Here is a 17,008-nt window from a genome sequence, read left to right on the forward strand (position 1 = left end):
AAGATTCAGATTGTATTAAAAAACAAACAAACACACAACAACTGAACAGATCATAGCATAGAGGATTTGTTTTCAGCTAGAGGATTTATTTTCAGTTCTCCATGGGGTTTTTAGCATTTTCTTTACCTAATTGCTATGGGAAAGGCTGAAGAAGGTAAAGGAAGCTAATATCTATTAAATACCCACTATTATGCAAGGTACTTTTTCATCCATTATTTAACTTAATCCTTTCAACAACTCTGTGAGGTTGGTGAAATTGTCCCCATTGTTGCAGGAGAGGGAACTGTGATCCAGATAAATCTTGCAACTTTATCCAGAGTCCTATAACTACTGAGTAGTAAAAGAGAAATTTAAACCCAGTTCTACCTTCAAAGCCACTCTCAGTAGGCCAGTATTACTTGTGCATCAAGCATACATGTAAAAAAAAAAGAAAAGGCAGATTCTGAGGATTTAATTTTTCCCCCCGTCTCCAGGGTTATTGGTGATAGTTTCCAGCAGTTTTGTTTAGAGTTTGAGGGCCTAACACTTGTCTTCTTTTTTGAAGTTGCTGCTAGAGGGCTGATTCTGCCTCTTCTAACCTAGCATGGTCATTGTATTGTCAAGAAGGTGAGGGTGGAGTCTTTAGCAGGAAGAAACCAGTGAATCCAGAGCTGGGATGAGGGAGGGAAGATGAGCCTGGAGAATACAACTGAGGCCCTTCCCTTTTCTTGGTATGCTCTGACCAGTTGCCCCCAGGTAGTAACAGCCTGGAATTTTTAGCAACACTTGTAGCATTGTTTCAAGGGGAAATGAGCTGTGTGGGGTTTTAAGAGATATGCACACATTGTTACTGTGCAAGGGTCAAAAGAAAACCTTGTTTCCTTGGTAGTACTGGATGAGATAGATGCAAGATCTAAAAAAGATATTCGAGGCTGGTCCTAACCCAGGTGAGAGTCCTATAGGATGGAGGTTTGTGAGGGGACTTCGCCAGGACCTTTGGGTAGCTCATAGCACAGTGCAATCTAGAAATAGAATAGGAAAGAATCAGTTTGCTTTTAGAAGTGAATACAGTCACTTTACAGAACCAGTCTTATAGAAACCACAGCTGTCTGTCTAAAATAGCACTGTCCAATAGAAATATAATGCAGACCACAAATGCAAGTCACATGTAACTAAATTTTCTAGCAGCCGCATTAAAGATGTAAATTTTTTTTAAGTAAAAAGAAAAGGTGAAATTATTTTAGTAAATGCCTTAGTTTGTTTTATGCTGCTGTCACAGAATACCACAGACTGGGTAATTTGTAATGAACAGAAATTTATTTAGCTTACAGTTTGAGAGGCTGGGCAGTCCAAGGCCAAGCGACCAGCATCTGGTGATGGCCTTCTTGCTGCGTCATAACATGGTGAATGGCATCTCATGTTCAAGAAAGAGTACAAGAGAGGGCCAAACTGACTTTTATGACAAACCCACCCTCATTTTAATGACATTGATCCATTCATGAAGGTAGAGCCCTCATGACTTAATCACCTCTTAAAGGTCTCATGTCTCAGTAGTGTTACATTGGGAATTAGATTTCCAACACATGAACTTTTGTTGTTGTTATTGTTTTTGTTTTGAGATAGAGTCTCATTCTAGCCACCCAGGCTGGAGTTCACAGACAGCATCTTGGCTCACTGCAATCTCCACTTCCCGATTCAAGCAATTCTGCCTCAGCCTCCAGAGTAACTGGGATTACAGGCACCTGTCACCATGCCCAGAAAATTTTTGTATTTTTAGGAGAGATAGGGTTTCACCATGTTGGCCAGGATGGTCTTGAACTCCTGACCTCAAGTGATCCCCCTGCCTCGGCCTCCCAAAGTGTTTGGATTACAGGCGTGAGCCACTGCACCTGGCCCCCCAACACATGAACTTTAAGGGACACATTCAAACCATAGTATTCTCTCCATGGACCCCAGAATTTTATGTCCTTCTCTTGGACAAAACACATTCATTCTATCCCAATAGCCCTGAAAGTCTTAACTTGTTCCAGCATCAACTCAAATGCCCAAATTCTAGAGTCTCACCTAAATCACATATGAGGGAGACTCAAGGCACCGTTCATGATGAGGCAAATTCCTCTCCACCTCTGAACCTATGAAATTAACAAGAACCAGCCTGGACAACATTTTTTTTTTTAAAAAAAGAAGCTGTGCATGGTTGCACATGCCTGTAGTCCCAGCTACTTGGGAGGCTGAGGTACAAGGATCGCTTGAGCCCAGGAGGTCAAGACTGCAGTGAACCATGTACATGCCACTGCACTCCAGCCTTGGTGACAGAGAGAGAGACCCTGTTTCAAAAACATCCCCCCAAAACTAACAAGTTATATGCTTCCAAAATACAATGGCGGGACAGAGATAGGATAGACATTCACACATACCAAAAAGGAGAAATAGGCAAGAAGAAAAGGGTAACTGGTCCCAATTAAGTCCAAAACTCAACGGGGAAAACAACATTAAGTCTTAAAGCTGGAGAATAATCTTCTTTGACTTTATGTCAAAGAAGGGCACACTGGGGAAGGGACTGGTCCCCCAAGGCCTCAGGCAGCCCTGCCCTTACAGCTTTGCTGGGCTCAGTCCACCCAGCAGCTCTCACAGTTGGAGTCTCATGCCTGCAGCTCTCTCAGGCCAGTGTTGCACACTGGTAACTCTACAGTTCTGGGGTCTTGGTGATAGCCACACTTCCATGGCTCCACTAGGCATTACCCTTGTGGGGGCTCTCTGCAGTGGCTCTGCCCCTGAAACAAGTCTCTGCCTGAGCCCCCAAGCTGTTCATGACATTCTCTGAAATCTAGATGGAAGCCACCATGGCACCATAGCTCTTGCATTATATGCGCCTGCAGATTAGCATCATGTGGATGCCACCAAAGTTTATAGTTTGTACTTTCTAGAGAAGCAGATCAAGCCACACCTGGGACCACTTGAGCCATGGCTGGGGTAGCCAAGGAATGCCATGCCAGAATGCAAGGAGCAGAGTTCTGAGGCAGCTCTGGACAGTGAATGCTGAGGTCCCACGGTGACTATCTGGAAACCTTGCTGTCTTAGTCGATTTTGTGTTGCCATAATAATGCCCGAGACTGAGTAACTAAGAAAAGAGATTTATTCAGCTCATGGTTCTGCAAAATGAAAAGTTCAAGGGCATGGCCCTGGCTTCTGGCAAGGGCTTCTGTGCTGTGTCCTAACATGCAGAGAAGGTTAAAGGGGAAGTGGATGCATGTGAAGAGGCATAACCTAGGGACATCCTAGCTTTATAACAACCCACTCTCTTAGGAACTAATCCATTCCCTTGAGAACAATCCAGTTTCATGAGAGTGACAACTCACTACTGTGAGATCAGCACCAAGCCGTTCATGGGGGATCTGCCCACGTGACCCAAACACTTCCTACCAGGCACTACCGCCCAACACTGCTCTATTGAGAATCCAATTTCAACATGAGTTTTCATAGGTATAGACTCAAATCATATCCAAACCATAGTATTCTGCTGTTAGCCCCCCAAAACTCATGTCCTTTCACATACAAAATACAGTCATTCCATCTCTATAGTCCTGAGAGTCTTAACTTGCTGATATGGTTTGGGTCTGTGTCCCCACCAAATCTCATGTTGAATTGCAGTCCCCAGTATTGGAGGTGGGGCCTGGTGGGAGGAGATTGTCTCATGGGAGTAAAGTTCTCATGCATGGTTTAGCACTGTCTCCCTGATGCTATTCTCATGACAGTCAGTTCTTATGAGATATGGTTGTTTAAAGAGTACAGGACATCCTCCCTCTCTCTCTTTCTTGCTTCTACTCTGTCCAGGTGATGTGTGTGCTTCCCCTTTGCCTTCTGCCATGATTGTAAGTTTCCTGAGGCCTCCCAGAACCCTAGCAGATGCCAGCATCATGCTTCCTATACAGCCTGCAGAACTGGGAGCAAATTAAACCTCTTTTCTTTATCAATTACGCAGTCTCCAATATTCCTTCATAGCAATGTGAGAATGGAATAATACACTTGTTTCAGCATCAACTCAAATGTCCAAAGTCCAAAACTGCATCTGAAACTCAAGGCACATACTTTCCAGGTATGAGCTTATAAACTCTAAAACAAGTTGTTTACTTCCAATATACAACGGTTGCACAGGCATTGGGTAAAATTACCATTCAAACATAGGGTCTTGCTCTTTCACCCAGGCTGGACTGCTGTGGTGAGTTCTTGGCTCACTGCAATTTCTGCCACCTGGGCACAAGTGATCCTCCCACCTCAGCCTGCCAAGTAGCTGGAACCACAGGCCATGTCACCACACCCAGTAATTTTTGTATTTTTTTGTAGAGACGGAGTTTCGCCATGTTGCCCATAGTGGTCTCGAATGCCTGCACTCTAGTGATCCTACCACCTTGGCCTCTCAGAGTGCCTGGATTACAGGCATGAGCCACACCAAGCCCTGGCCAGCAGACTTTAAATCTTAAACCTCCAGAATAATCTCCTTTGGATCAATGTTTTGCATCCTGGGCACACTAGTGCCAGGAGGGGGTTCCCAATGCCTCAGGCAGCCCTTTCCCCATGGCTTTGCTGGACATAGCCCACATGGCTGTACTCACAGGTTGGAATCACATGGCTTTGCTGGACATAGCCCACATGGCTGTACTCACAGGTTGGAATCAAATGCCTGAAGCTTAGCCAGGCTGAGGTCACATGCTGCCAGTGACTTTAGCATTTTGGGGTCCTTGCGGTGGCCCTACTCTTGTGGCTCCACTAGGCATTGTCCTAGTGAAGACTCTTTGCAGAAGAGTCCTCTGCTGTGGCCTCACATTTCTGCTTGGCATTGTCTTAGCAGAGGCTGTCTGTGGTGGCTCCCCCACATGGCAGGTTTCTGCCTAGGCTCCCAGGCTCTCTTTTTCTCTTCATTCCTTTTTTTTTTTTTTTTTTTTTTTTTGACAAAGGGTCTTACTCTGTCACCCAGGCTGGAGTGCAGTGGTGTGATCACAGCTCACTGTACCTTGACCTCTGAGGCTCAATCAATCTTCCAGCCTCAGCCTCCCAAGTAGCTGGGACTACAGGCATGCACCACTGCACCTGGTTAATTTTGTTTCTTTTTTGTTTTTGTTTTTGTTTTGTAGAGATGAGGTCTTGCCATTTTGCCCAGGCTGTTCTTGAACTCCTGAACTCAAGTGATCCACCCACCTCATCCTCCTAAAGAGTTGGGATTTCAAGCATGAGCCACTGTGCCTGGCCTGCTCCCAGGCTTGCTGATACATCATCTGAAATCTAGGTGGAAGCTGCCATGCCCACCACTCTTGCATTCCACATGCATGAACAATAGTACCATGTGGACATGGATGCCACCAAGACCCACAGCTTGCACTCTCCAGAGCAGTGGCCCAAGCTGTACCTGGGGCTATTGGGCCATGGCTGCTCTGGCCAGAGCAGCTAGGAGAAGCATCCTGAGGTGGCTCAGGGCAGTGGTATCCCACCATTCTGTCCTCCTAGGCCTCTGGGTCTGTGACAGGAGGAATGGCCTTAGACTTTTGAAATACTTTCAGGGCCTTTTTTCCATTGTTCTGTTAGTACCTGGCTCCCTTCTGTCAGAACTAATCTCTTTAGCAAAAGGTCCCTTGGCTGCACCCTTAGATTCCTCTTCTGAAAATGTTCTTTCATTCTCTACCACTTGGCCAGGCTGCAAATTTTCTAAATTTTAATGCTCTGCTTCTTACACATTTCACCTTTAGGTCACTCCTTTGCTGTGTTTAAGCTGTCAAAGTAACCACACTGTGTCTTGAGCATTTTGCTGCTTAGAAATTTTTCTGCCTAGGCCGGGCATGGTGGCTCATGCCTGTAATCACAGCACTTTGGGAGGCCGAGGTGGGCGGATCACCTGAGGTCAGGAGTTCGAGACTAGCCTGGCCAACATGGTGAAACCCCACCTTTAAAAAGAAAAAAAAAAAGAAATTTCTCCTGCCAGATGCCCTAGGTTATCATTTTTAAGTTTGGTATTTTATAAAGCCCTAAGGCATGGACACAATGCAGCCAAGTTCTTTGCTGTGGCATAACATGGGTGACCTTTGTTCTAGTTTCCAAATAAACGCTACTTTCCTTCATCAGAATGGCCTTTACTGTCCATATTTCTATCAGCATTTTGGTCATAACCATCTAACCAATCTCTGAGAAGTTCCAAACGTTCCCTCATCTTTTTGTCTTTTTCTGAGCCCTCATCAAAATTACTCTTAATGCCCTGTTCACAGCAATTCAGGTGTTTTCTAGCCTATTTCTTCAAACTCCTCCAACTTCTGCCCGTTACCCAGTTCCAAAGCTGCTTCTGCATTTTTAGGTATCTTTATGGCACAACCCCACTCCTTGGTACAAATTGTCTGTCTTAGATCATTTTGTGTTGTTATAACAGAATACCTGAAACTGGGTCATTTATAAAGAAAAGGTGTATTTACCTCACTGTTCTGTAGGCTGGGACATTCAAGGGCGTGCCTGCAGCCTGCAGGGGGTTGTAGCTCTCATGCTACATTATAACATGACAGAGAAGGTTAAAGGGCAAGTGGACACGTGCAAAGAGGCAAACCCAAGGGATCTCTTGGCTTTAAAACAACCCACTATCATGGGAACTCACCCATTTCTGCAGGAACTAATCTAGTCTTGCGAGAGTGAGAATCTGCTTCCATGAGATCAGCTGGTGGAGGATCCTCCCCCATGATCCAAATGCCTCCCACTAAGCCTCACCTCCCAACACCACCCCATTGGGGATAAAATTTCAACATAAGTTTAAGAGGGGACAAACTCAGATCATATCCGAACCATAGCACTTGTCCTCAAGGCCCCAGCCTGCTTAGACAATCTCTGAAATGTCTTCAGGGTTTTTCTCTCATTGTCTTGATGAATAGGCCTGGTTGCCTTCTGTCTACTAATTTTTTTAGCAAATGATTTCTTGGCCACGCCCTTGGTTTTTCTCCTACGGACACTTTTTCAGTCTACATGGCCAGCCTTCAGATTTCCCAAATCTTTCTGCTCTGCTTTCTTTTTCATTACTAATTCCACCTTTTAGTCATTTCTCTCCTCTCATGTTTTACTATATGTGCTTCAAAGTAGCAATACAGCTCCTTCAATATTTTGCTTAGAAATTTCTTTCACCAGATATCCTAGTTCATCACTCTTAAGTTCTGTCTTCCACAAATTCCTAAGACACTGACAGAATTCTGCCAAGTTCTTTGCAAGTAGATAACAAGAATGGCTTTTACTCCAGTTTCCAATACCTTGTTCCTCATTTCCATCTGACACCTCATCAGAATGGTCTTTACTGTCTATAACTGTCTATATTTCTACCAACATTCTGATTAGGACCACCTAAGTAATCCCTGAGAAGCTTTAGGCTCTTCTTAAAGTTCTTTTTTCATCTGAGCCCTCTCCAGAATTCCCCTTAATACTCCATTCATGGCAGACTTTTCTCTCCTGATCCTCCAAATTCTTCCACCTTCTACCCATTTCCAGTTCAAAAACCACTTCCACATTTTCAGGTATTTGTTATGGCATCAGACTACTTCATGGTATCAATTTTCTGTCTTAGTCAGTTTTATGCTACTATCACAGAATACCACAGACTGGGTAATTCGCATTGAACAGAAATTAATTTGGCTTATGGTTCTGGAGGCTGGGAAACCCATGATTGAGGGGCTGCATCTGGTGAGGGCCTTCTTGCTGCATCATAACATGGCAGGAGCCGTCACATGGGTGACAGAAAGAATAAGAGAGGACAAACTGACTTTTATAACAAACCCACCCTCATAATAATGAGTCCACTCCTGTAATAATGACATTATCACTTTTTTTTTTTTTTTAAGAGACAAGGTCTCACTCTGTCACCAGCTTGGAGTACAGTAGCATGAACACAGCTCACCTCAGCCCCAACCTCCTGGGCTCGAGTGATCCCCTGCCTCAGGCTCCAGAGTAGCTGGGACCATAGGCACACACTACCACACCTGGCTAATTTTTTATTTTTCATAGAGATGGGGTCTTGCTATGTTGTGCAGGCTGGTCTTGAACTTCTGGGCTCAAGAGTTCCTCCCGCCTCAGCCTCCCAAAGTGCTGGGTTTACAAGCATGAGCCACCATACCTAGCCACATTATCACCTCTTAAAGACCTTAGCTCTCAACACTGTTACACTGGGGATTGAGTCTTTAACCCATAGATTCTGGGGGACACATTCAAACTGTAGTTATATGTAGGATTATGTTGTATTTAGCCCAATGTATCCAAAATATTATTTCAACAAGTTGTCAATATAATAAAGTTAGTAATGTGCTATTTTACATTCATTACTAAGTCTTTGGAAACTCATGTATATTTTATACTTATAGATGGCCGCATAAGCAATGGCCCCTAGGTTAACTAGTTGGATAAACATAACCAGCTGGATAGTCCAGGTCTAGAACAATGATAGTATTTCAGCAGTGGAAATCAGATCCTAGCAGATAACGAAAGGCTCTAGAAAGTGACTCAGGCCTTGAGGAGGTTGTGTTTGCTGGACAGGCTGATCATATGGTATCACCCAGAGAGGCTGAGAGTTTCTGAGGTTGACTTGGGATTCACAGTCATAAAGTGTGTGGTCAGCCTAGTCTTGTTCCAAAGTCATGGCCACTTGGGTATGTTGCAGTCCAGGGTTGTCATTTTGGATCTTGTAATGTCAGAGGTCTTTCAAGGTCTGAGGGAAGTTTGCGGAGGTGAAGGCAAACTCTTTTGTTCACATCTATTGATTGTTATTGCTATTGACAGCAAACAGAGTGCTTGCTCACATGACTGTCTACTTTTTGTTTGTTTGTTTTTGTGTTTTCACATGAAAGTGTTTAGTTTATTAATATTCTTGTGAAAAATCCACAATGGCCACAGATTACACCATTGCAGCACCTTTACTCCTTCAGCTTTTTGCCAGCACCAACATTGGCCTTTGCAGTCCCCCTGACTTTCCTCATTCTGTTCTTGCGTTCCTCTCATTGCTTTCTTGAGGTCTTTTTCTTCTCATACAGGCCATGTCTTGCAAGTCTATGTTTGGGTTCATTTTTCTTTGCATAATCCAGGGGATCATAAATCATGCCAAAGCCGGTTGTCTTGCCACCACCAAAATGAGTTTTGAATGCAAATACAAAGATGACATCCAGTGTGGTCTTGTACATTTTGGCTAGTTTTTCCCAAATTTCTGTCTTAGGCACTGTTGCCTTCCCAGGGTGAAGGATATCAATGACTGTTTGTTTCCTCTGAAGTCGTCGGTTGATCATGAACTTTCTAGTGTGGATAGTTACTGTGTCGTTCATGATGGTGGTCTATCCTCAGACAGCCAGGGAGGAAAAGCATGACTGTCTGCTTTCTAGCCTCCTATTGTGCATTGGAGGAGAGTAGACAAGGGCTGGGAGCAGAAAACAAGGCCAGTAGTGACTAAAGGTAGACGGGGTAGGTCTGAGACCACCCTCTGAAATGGTTATGGGGGCCAGCCAGTCCATATAAATGCTGAAGCAGGCCTAGTAAAAATGATATTGGAGTGTGGTGGGGTCCCAGTGAGCTTGAGAGTTTTCATCCTATCTAAAGGCACCAGTTGCTTCAGCTCCCACCAATCATTGATATATACAAAGCATGACTCGGTGGTGTCAGATCTGCATTTTTTTCCTTTGAAGAGAAATCAGAAATCCAGATTTTTATGTGAAATCTGTATTTTGTAATCATGATAAAATATAAATAATATTTACCATTTTAACCATTCATTAAGTGTACAGTTCAGTGACATTAAATGCATTTGCAATGTTGTGTAACCATTACCACTATTTATACCCAAAACTTTTTCATCATCGTCAATAAAAAATCTGTACTCATTAAGCAATAACTCCTCTTTTGCCCCCCCCCCCCGCCCCCACATCCCCTGGTAACCTTTATTCTACTTTCTGTCCCTATGAATTTGCCTATTCTAGGATCCTTGTAAAAGTGGAATCATACTTGTCCTTCTGTAGCTGGCTTATGAAATCTGTTTTTTAAATGCTGGTAACTAATTCATTTCATTTTTTAAAAATGTATTTTATGTCTTAAAACTGCATCAGATTAAATTGCCAGTTTGAACATCAGGCATGGTGGCATATGTCTGTAATCCCAGCACTTTGGGAGGCTGAGGCAGGAGGACTGCTTGAGCCCAGGAGTTTGAGACCAACCTGGGCAACATAGTGAGACCCTGTCTCCACAAAAAGTACGAAATTAGCTGAGCATGGTAGAGCTCACCTGTAGTCCTAGCTACTCAGGAGGCTGAGGTGGGAGGATTGCTTGAGCCCAGGAGGTTGAGGCTGCAGTGGGCCATGATTATGCCACTGCACTCCAATCTGAGCTATAGAGCAAGACCCATCTCAAAAAAAAAAAAAAGAAGAAGAAGAAGAAGAAGCCAGTTTGAGACTTCTGGGAAAGGTTGCATGGAACTGAATTTCAGTTCTGCTTTCTCCTTCCTCGAAAAGCTCTCACCAAACGTGGGCAGGTGGAAACAATGTCAGAGGCTAGTAACTCAACTTGGGGGATTAGCCCAGAACTTCCAGAAGTGGTTGGTGATTTGCCTAATCCATGGGGATAGATGAAAATACAGAGGTCTGCGGCCCCACACAGACTGTCTTAACCAAACTGTCTAGGAAAGGGGCCCAGCATTTTGTATTCTCTTTTTTTTTTGAGATAGAGTCTCACTTTGCCCCCCAGGTTGGAGTGCAGTGGGGTGATCTTGGCTCACTGCAATCTCCACTTCCCAAGTTCAAGTCATTCTCATGCCTCAGCCTCCTGAGTAGCTGGGATTACAGGTGCCCGCCACCACGTCTGGCTAATTTTTCTATTTTTAGTAGAGATAGGGTTTCACCATGTCGGCCAGGCTGGTCTTGAACTCGCGACCTCAGGTGATCCGCCCATCTCAGCCTCCCAATGTGCTGGGATTGCAGGTGTGAGCCACCATGCCCAGCCAGCATTATATGTTTTCAACTGGCCTCCCAAATAAGGCTCGTGATCAGACACTTTTTGAAACCACGAGGAGGAAAGAGCAGCATGCATGGGAAAAGACTGCCTGCTTGGAGCCATATTCTTGTCAGGGCTGATTTTTTTTTTTCTTTTTCTTTTTTTGTAGAGATGAGGTCTCGCTTTGTTGCCTAAGCTGGTCTTGAACTCCTGGCCTCAAGTTATTCTCCCACCTCAGCCTTCCACAGTGCTGGGATTACAGGTGTGAGCCACTGCACCCAGCTGGTCAGGGTTGATTTATGATACGTTTGCTGTAAGGTTCAGTGGGAAGCAGTGGGAGCTTGGGCCACTCACCCTTCAGATTGAGGGCAGAGGCTGGGCTGAGGCTCATGATTTTGATTCACCTGAGGTACTGAAAACGTCCTGAAAACCTTAGGGTTGGGGAGTTGAGGAGCCCTAATGGGATATGAGCTTGAAACCATGCATATGCTCCACATCTTTTGGGTTCTTTGACATTCAATCCAGTGCACTGGAAGAAGCTCAGATTGGCCTGGCCTGGCTTCTGCCTTGGCTTTTTATATTTTTTTTTCTCTATAACCTAATCTTGGAAGTGATTTTTCTTTTTTCCGTTTTTAGAGACAGAGTCTTGCTCTGTTGCTCAGGCTGGAATGCAGTGGCACAGTCTCAGCACACTGCAGTCTTGACCTCCTGGGCTTAAGCGATCCTTGCCTCAGCCTACAGAGTAGCTGGGACTACAGGTATGTGCCACCATGCCTGGCTAGTTATTTTATTTTTTGTAGAATCTGGGTCTCACTACTTTGCCCAGGCTGGTCTTGAACTCCTGGCCTCAAGCGATCCTGCTGCCTCCGCCTCCCACAGGGCTGGGATTACAGGCATGAGCTATCACCCAGCGCATGCCTTGGCTTTGTTGCCTTGCCAGGCATTGTTATAGTTGCTTGTTAATTTCACAGAATTAAGTCTAAGTCTTCAGTTTCCAATTTCCAGACCTCCGCTCCCCACCTTTTCCTATTTAACTTGTCTCTTGTTACCTCTCAGCCTTGGCTCTGCTCTGACCACTGAGGCTCCATACTATCTCCTTGGGTTATACCCTTTGGGTCTAAGATTTAGGCAGTGGAGAGGAATGTCAGCAAGATGGTGGACTAGAAAGCTCCAGGCCCTCATTTTCCTACAGAAATGTTAAATAACCAACTAGGAAGTGGCTAAAATAACTTCTTTTGACAAGCTTTGGAAGTCAAAGATCTACAGCAACCAAGCCCACCCAACCAAGAAAAAGACACATTCAAAGCCATAGGAAATTTCATGGCTTTTTAACTCACCTTTGCCCCATTTCCTCCCCCATGCTGTGCCTCCAGTCCCCAGTTCTCTGCAAACTGAATAGATGGAATTTGCAACATTTTAACCTGCTTTAACTCAACTTCATTTTTATACACTGACAATGTACAACACCCCCCCCCAAAAAATTAAGAAACAATTCCATTTATAATAGCATTAAAAAATAAAATACTTAGGAATAAACCAAGGATGTAAAAGTCAAGTATATTGGAAACTACAAAATGTTGCTGAAAGAAATTAAATAAGGTGTAAATAAATGGAAAGACATCCTGTGTTTACGGATTGGAAGACTTCATGTTAAGATGTCAAAACTATCTAAAGCAATATATAGATTTAATGTAATCCCTGTCAAAATCCCAGTAATGGTTTTCATAGAAATAGAAAAATCCTTACCCTAAAATTCATATGGGATTTCAGGGAACCATCAGTAGCCACAACAATCTCAAAAAAGAAGAACAGCATCGGAGATCTCACACTTTCTGATGTCGGAACTTACTACAAAGCTACAGTAATGAAGACAATGTTGTATTTGGCATAAAGACAGGCATATAGACCAATGAAATAGAGAAGAGAGTCCAGATATAAACCCTTGTGTATGTGGTCAAATGATTTTCATCAAGGGTGTCAAGACCATTCAATGAGGAAAAGACAGTCTTTTCAATAAGGGGTGTTGGGAAAACTGGATAACCATATGAAATTAGACCCTTGTGTTGTCAGAGGCGTTTGAACAAGAGCGACTCCATCTTGAATAGGGGCTGGGTAAAATGAGGCTGACACCTACTGGGCTGCACTCCCAGGAGGTTAGGCATTCTAAGTCACAGGATGAGATAGGAGGTTGGCACAAGGTACAGGTCGCAAAGACCTTGCTGTTAAAAGGATGCAGTAAAGAGGCCAGCCAAAACCCACCAAAGCCAAAACAGTGATGAAAGTGACCTCTGGTCATCCTCACTGCTCATTATATGCTAATTATAATGCATTAGCATGTTAAAAGACACTCCCACCAGGACCATGACAGTTTACAAATGCCATAGCAAATCAGGAAGTTACCCTATGTGGCCTAAAAAGGAAAGAAACCCTTAGTTCCTGGAATTGCCCACCCCTTTCCCGGAAAACTCATGAATAATCCACATCTTGTTTAGCATATAATCAAGAAGTAACAATAAATATAAGCAGCTGAGCAGTCCATGCCACTGCTCTGCCTATGGAGTAGCCATTCTTTATTCCTTTACTTTCTTAATAAACTTGCTTTCACTTTATGGACTTCCCCCAAATTCTTTCTTGTATAAGATCCAAGAAACCTCTACTGAGATCTGTATCAGAACCCCTTTCCAGTAACATCGTTATACTATATTCAAAAATTAACTGAAAAATGGATCAAAGACTTAAACATAAAAGCTAAAACCATAAGACTCTTAGAAGGAAACAGAGAAAATGCTTTATAATGTTAGTTCTGGCAAAGATTACTTGGGTCAGATACCAAAAGCAGAGGTACTAAAAGAAAAGAAAAAATTAAACTACATCAATGTAAAACTTTAATGCATCAAAGGATGCTATTAACAGACTAAAAAAGTCACCCATATTTGGGAGAAAATATTTGCAAATCTTATATCTGATAAGGAATTAATTTCTAGAATGTGTAAAGAACTCTTTACAACTCAACCGCAAAAAAAAAAACAAACAAACAATCCAATTTAAAAATGAGCTAACAAATATACAAATGGTCAATTGCCAAGACCAGCTCAGTTGGGGAGACCCTAACCTAGCCGCGCTAGAGGAATTAAAGACACACACACAGAAATATAGAGGTGTGAAGTGGGAAATCAGGGGTCTCACAGCATTCAGAGCCGAGAACCCCCAACAAAGATTTACCCACGTATTTATTAACAGCAAACCAGTCATTAGCATTGTTTCTATAGATGTTAAATTAACTAAAAGTATCCCATATGGGAAATGAAGGGATGGGCTGAATTAATTGCAGCAGGAACACGCCTTTAAGACACAGATTGCTCATGCTTTTGTTTGTGGCTTAAGAATGCCTTTAAGCGGTTTTCCGCCTTGGGCGGGCCAGGTGTTCCTTGCCCTCATTCCCGTAAATCCACAACCTTCCAGCTTGGGCATTAGGGCCATTATGGACATATCACAGTGCTGCAGAGATTTTGTTTATGGCCAGTTTTGGGGCCAGTTTATGGCCAGATTTTGGGGGGCTTGCTCCCAACAGTCAATAGCACCTAAAAAGGTGCTCAACATTAGGGAAATACAAATCAAAACCACTGTCAGATACCACTCCACACCTATTTAGGATGGCTATTATTAAAAAAAAAAGTGTTGGTAAGGATGTGAAGACATTGGAACTCTTTTGCATTGCTGGTGGGAATGTAAAATGGTGCAGCTGCTATGAAAACAACATGAAGCACCTCAAAAAAATTAAAAATAAAATTACCATATGATCCAGCAATTCCACTTCTAGGTAAAAAATTGAAAGCAGGAACTTGAACAGATATTTGTATACTCGTGTTTATAGCAGCATTATTCACAATAACTAAAACTTGGAAGCAACCCAAGTGTCTGTGCTTCCAGATGAATGAATAAAATGTAGTGTGTGTATGTGTATGTATGTGTGTATATATATGTACAGTGAAATATATACATATACGTTGTTATATACAATGAAATATATAAAAAACTTCTGGCCAACCAGCTGTGAATTGGGGGTTCCCATAACTCCTCTTCAGGTTTGATTTGCTATAACAACTCACAGAACTCAGGAAAACATTTTACTCACATTTCCTAGTTTATTATACACTTTACTCACATTTCCTAGTTTATTATAAAGGATACAACTCAGGAACAGCCAAATGGAAGAGATGCATAGGGCAGGAAATTGGGATGGGGATTGTGGAGCTTCCAAGCCCTATCCTGCCACCCTCTCAGCACCTGGATGTGCTCACCAACCAGAAGCTCTCTGAAACTCAACTGTTCAAGAGATTTTATCCAGCACGGTCTCTAGCCCCCTCCCCTCCCCTCCCCTCCCTGGAGTGGGTAGGGGGATGGGGTTGTACATTTCCAAGTTCGAATCCATGATCTTTCTGGTGACCAGCCCCCTTCTGAGGCTACCTAGGAGCGCTACCTATGTTGCCTCATTAGCATAAACTCCCTGGAGGGGGTAGAGGGATGGGGTTGTACATTTCCAAGTTCTAATCCCTGGTCTTTCTGGTGACCAGCCCCCTCCTGAGGCTGTCTAGGAGGGCTACCTATGTCACCTCATTAGCATAAACTCTGGTGTCTTGGAAAGGGGCCCCTTAGGAAATGATGAGATATTCCTATCACTCAGGAAATCCCAAGGATTTTTGTAGCTCTGTACCAAGCACAGAGGACAAAGACCAAATAATATTTTTATTATACCACAGTTACCTGCAGTAGAAACAGAAAGTAGAATGGTGATTGTCAGAAGCTGAGGGAAGGAGAGAATGGGGAGTTACTGTTTAACGGGTACAGAGTTTCAGATTGGGAAGATGAAAAAAGTTCTAGAAATGGATGGAGGTGATGGTTGCACAATAGTATGAATGTACTTAACGCTGCTGAACTATACAGTTAAAAATTGCTTAAAAATCAACAATTGTGTATATTTAACCACCACCAAGCAAACGAACAAAAGATACTCTGCTTTTGAGATGTTCCCTTCTAGCTGGAACCCCTGTTCCCCTGCTGCCCTCATCCACATCAGCCTTTATGCTCTAAAGAATGCATTTCCAAGCCTGTGTACCTGCTGGGTCTGTTCCAACACTGGCCTTTGTTTTCTGGTGGTTCGTCTATTTCTCCTTCTTCCTTATCCCTTCTCTTGTCCACCTCCCCTCCATCTCCACATCTTCCTACTAAATGGGAAACTTCCAGAGGGCCAGAACCTTGGCTGATGATAGGGACAGGAGGCAGAGAAATTCTAGGCAGAAAAGGGTGGGGTCCCTGGCGAGGGCCCCACCCTCAAGCCTGAAACCGCAGCCCAAAGTGAGAACTTTACATCATTTTCCTGCTGGAATATTGCCTTTTCCAAAACCACTCCTGGCCAACCCCCATCCTATAGCCTTAAAACCCCCAGGCTCTACTGACAGAGAGCAGAGAAGGGGAGAAGCATTAGCCAGACATCAGAGAGAAGCAGGTTTACTTTAGAGAGACGGCTGGACAGCGGGACTTCAGAGAAGAGTCAGCTGGGGACAGCCAGACCTCAGGGGTGGAATACCTTCCTGCTCCATCTGCTTTCCAGCTCCCCTTCCCACTGACAGCCACTTCTATCGGCAATAAAATCCTCTGCATTTACCATCTTTCAATTCGTTTGTGCTATCTGATTTTTTTCCTGGATGCCAGGTAAGAGCTCAGGATAGAGAAAGCTGTCTCACTGGCTCTCTGCCCTCATGAAAAGGCAGAGGGTCTATTGAGCTGTTAAACACTTAAGCTAAAGGAGCGCAGTGTAACAAACACACTCTGGAGCTTCAGGGGTCACAGATACTCCCCCCTTAGATGCTGCCGCAGTACCCTCATGGAGTTTTTCTCCTGCTGGTGCCCAAAAGCGATCACTCCAGCTCCTGTGCCCGCTTGCCTGTGTGCTCCCACTCCCTCGAGGGGTTGAGAACTGAGGGCTAAGTGAGGCACCCCTGTCATGAAGCCCACAAAGGGGTCAAGGAAAATTTCCTGTTTCACTGACACA

General features: G+C 43.8%; 1 protein-coding gene and 1 pseudogene across 1 annotated transcript in view, besides 1 other annotated feature; one reads left to right on the plus strand and one right to left on the minus strand.

Moving 5' to 3' along the window:
- Nucleotides 1-17,008, plus strand: part of FLVCR2 (FLVCR choline and putative heme transporter 2) — a 69,548-nt gene that overhangs the window by 8,285 nt on the left and 44,255 nt on the right. The gene's annotated exons all lie outside the window — the stretch shown is intronic.
- RPS24P2 (ribosomal protein S24 pseudogene 2) lies at nucleotides 8,832-9,339 on the minus strand (annotated as a pseudogene).
- Nucleotides 15,596-16,475: an enhancer, noted in NCBI's record as "H3K27ac hESC enhancer chr14:76068843-76069722 (GRCh37/hg19 assembly coordinates)". NCBI's record gives its function as "activates a minimal SCP1, AML or CMV promoter by ChIP-STARR-seq in naive H9 embryonic stem cells {active_cell/tissue: H9 hESC(naive)}" and the evidence as "EXISTENCE:reporter gene assay evidence [ECO:0000049][PMID:30033119]".

Source organism: Homo sapiens, chromosome 14, assembly GCF_000001405.40.
Source record: "Homo sapiens chromosome 14, GRCh38.p14 Primary Assembly".
Classification (NCBI taxonomy): domain Eukaryota; kingdom Metazoa; phylum Chordata; class Mammalia; order Primates; family Hominidae; genus Homo; species Homo sapiens.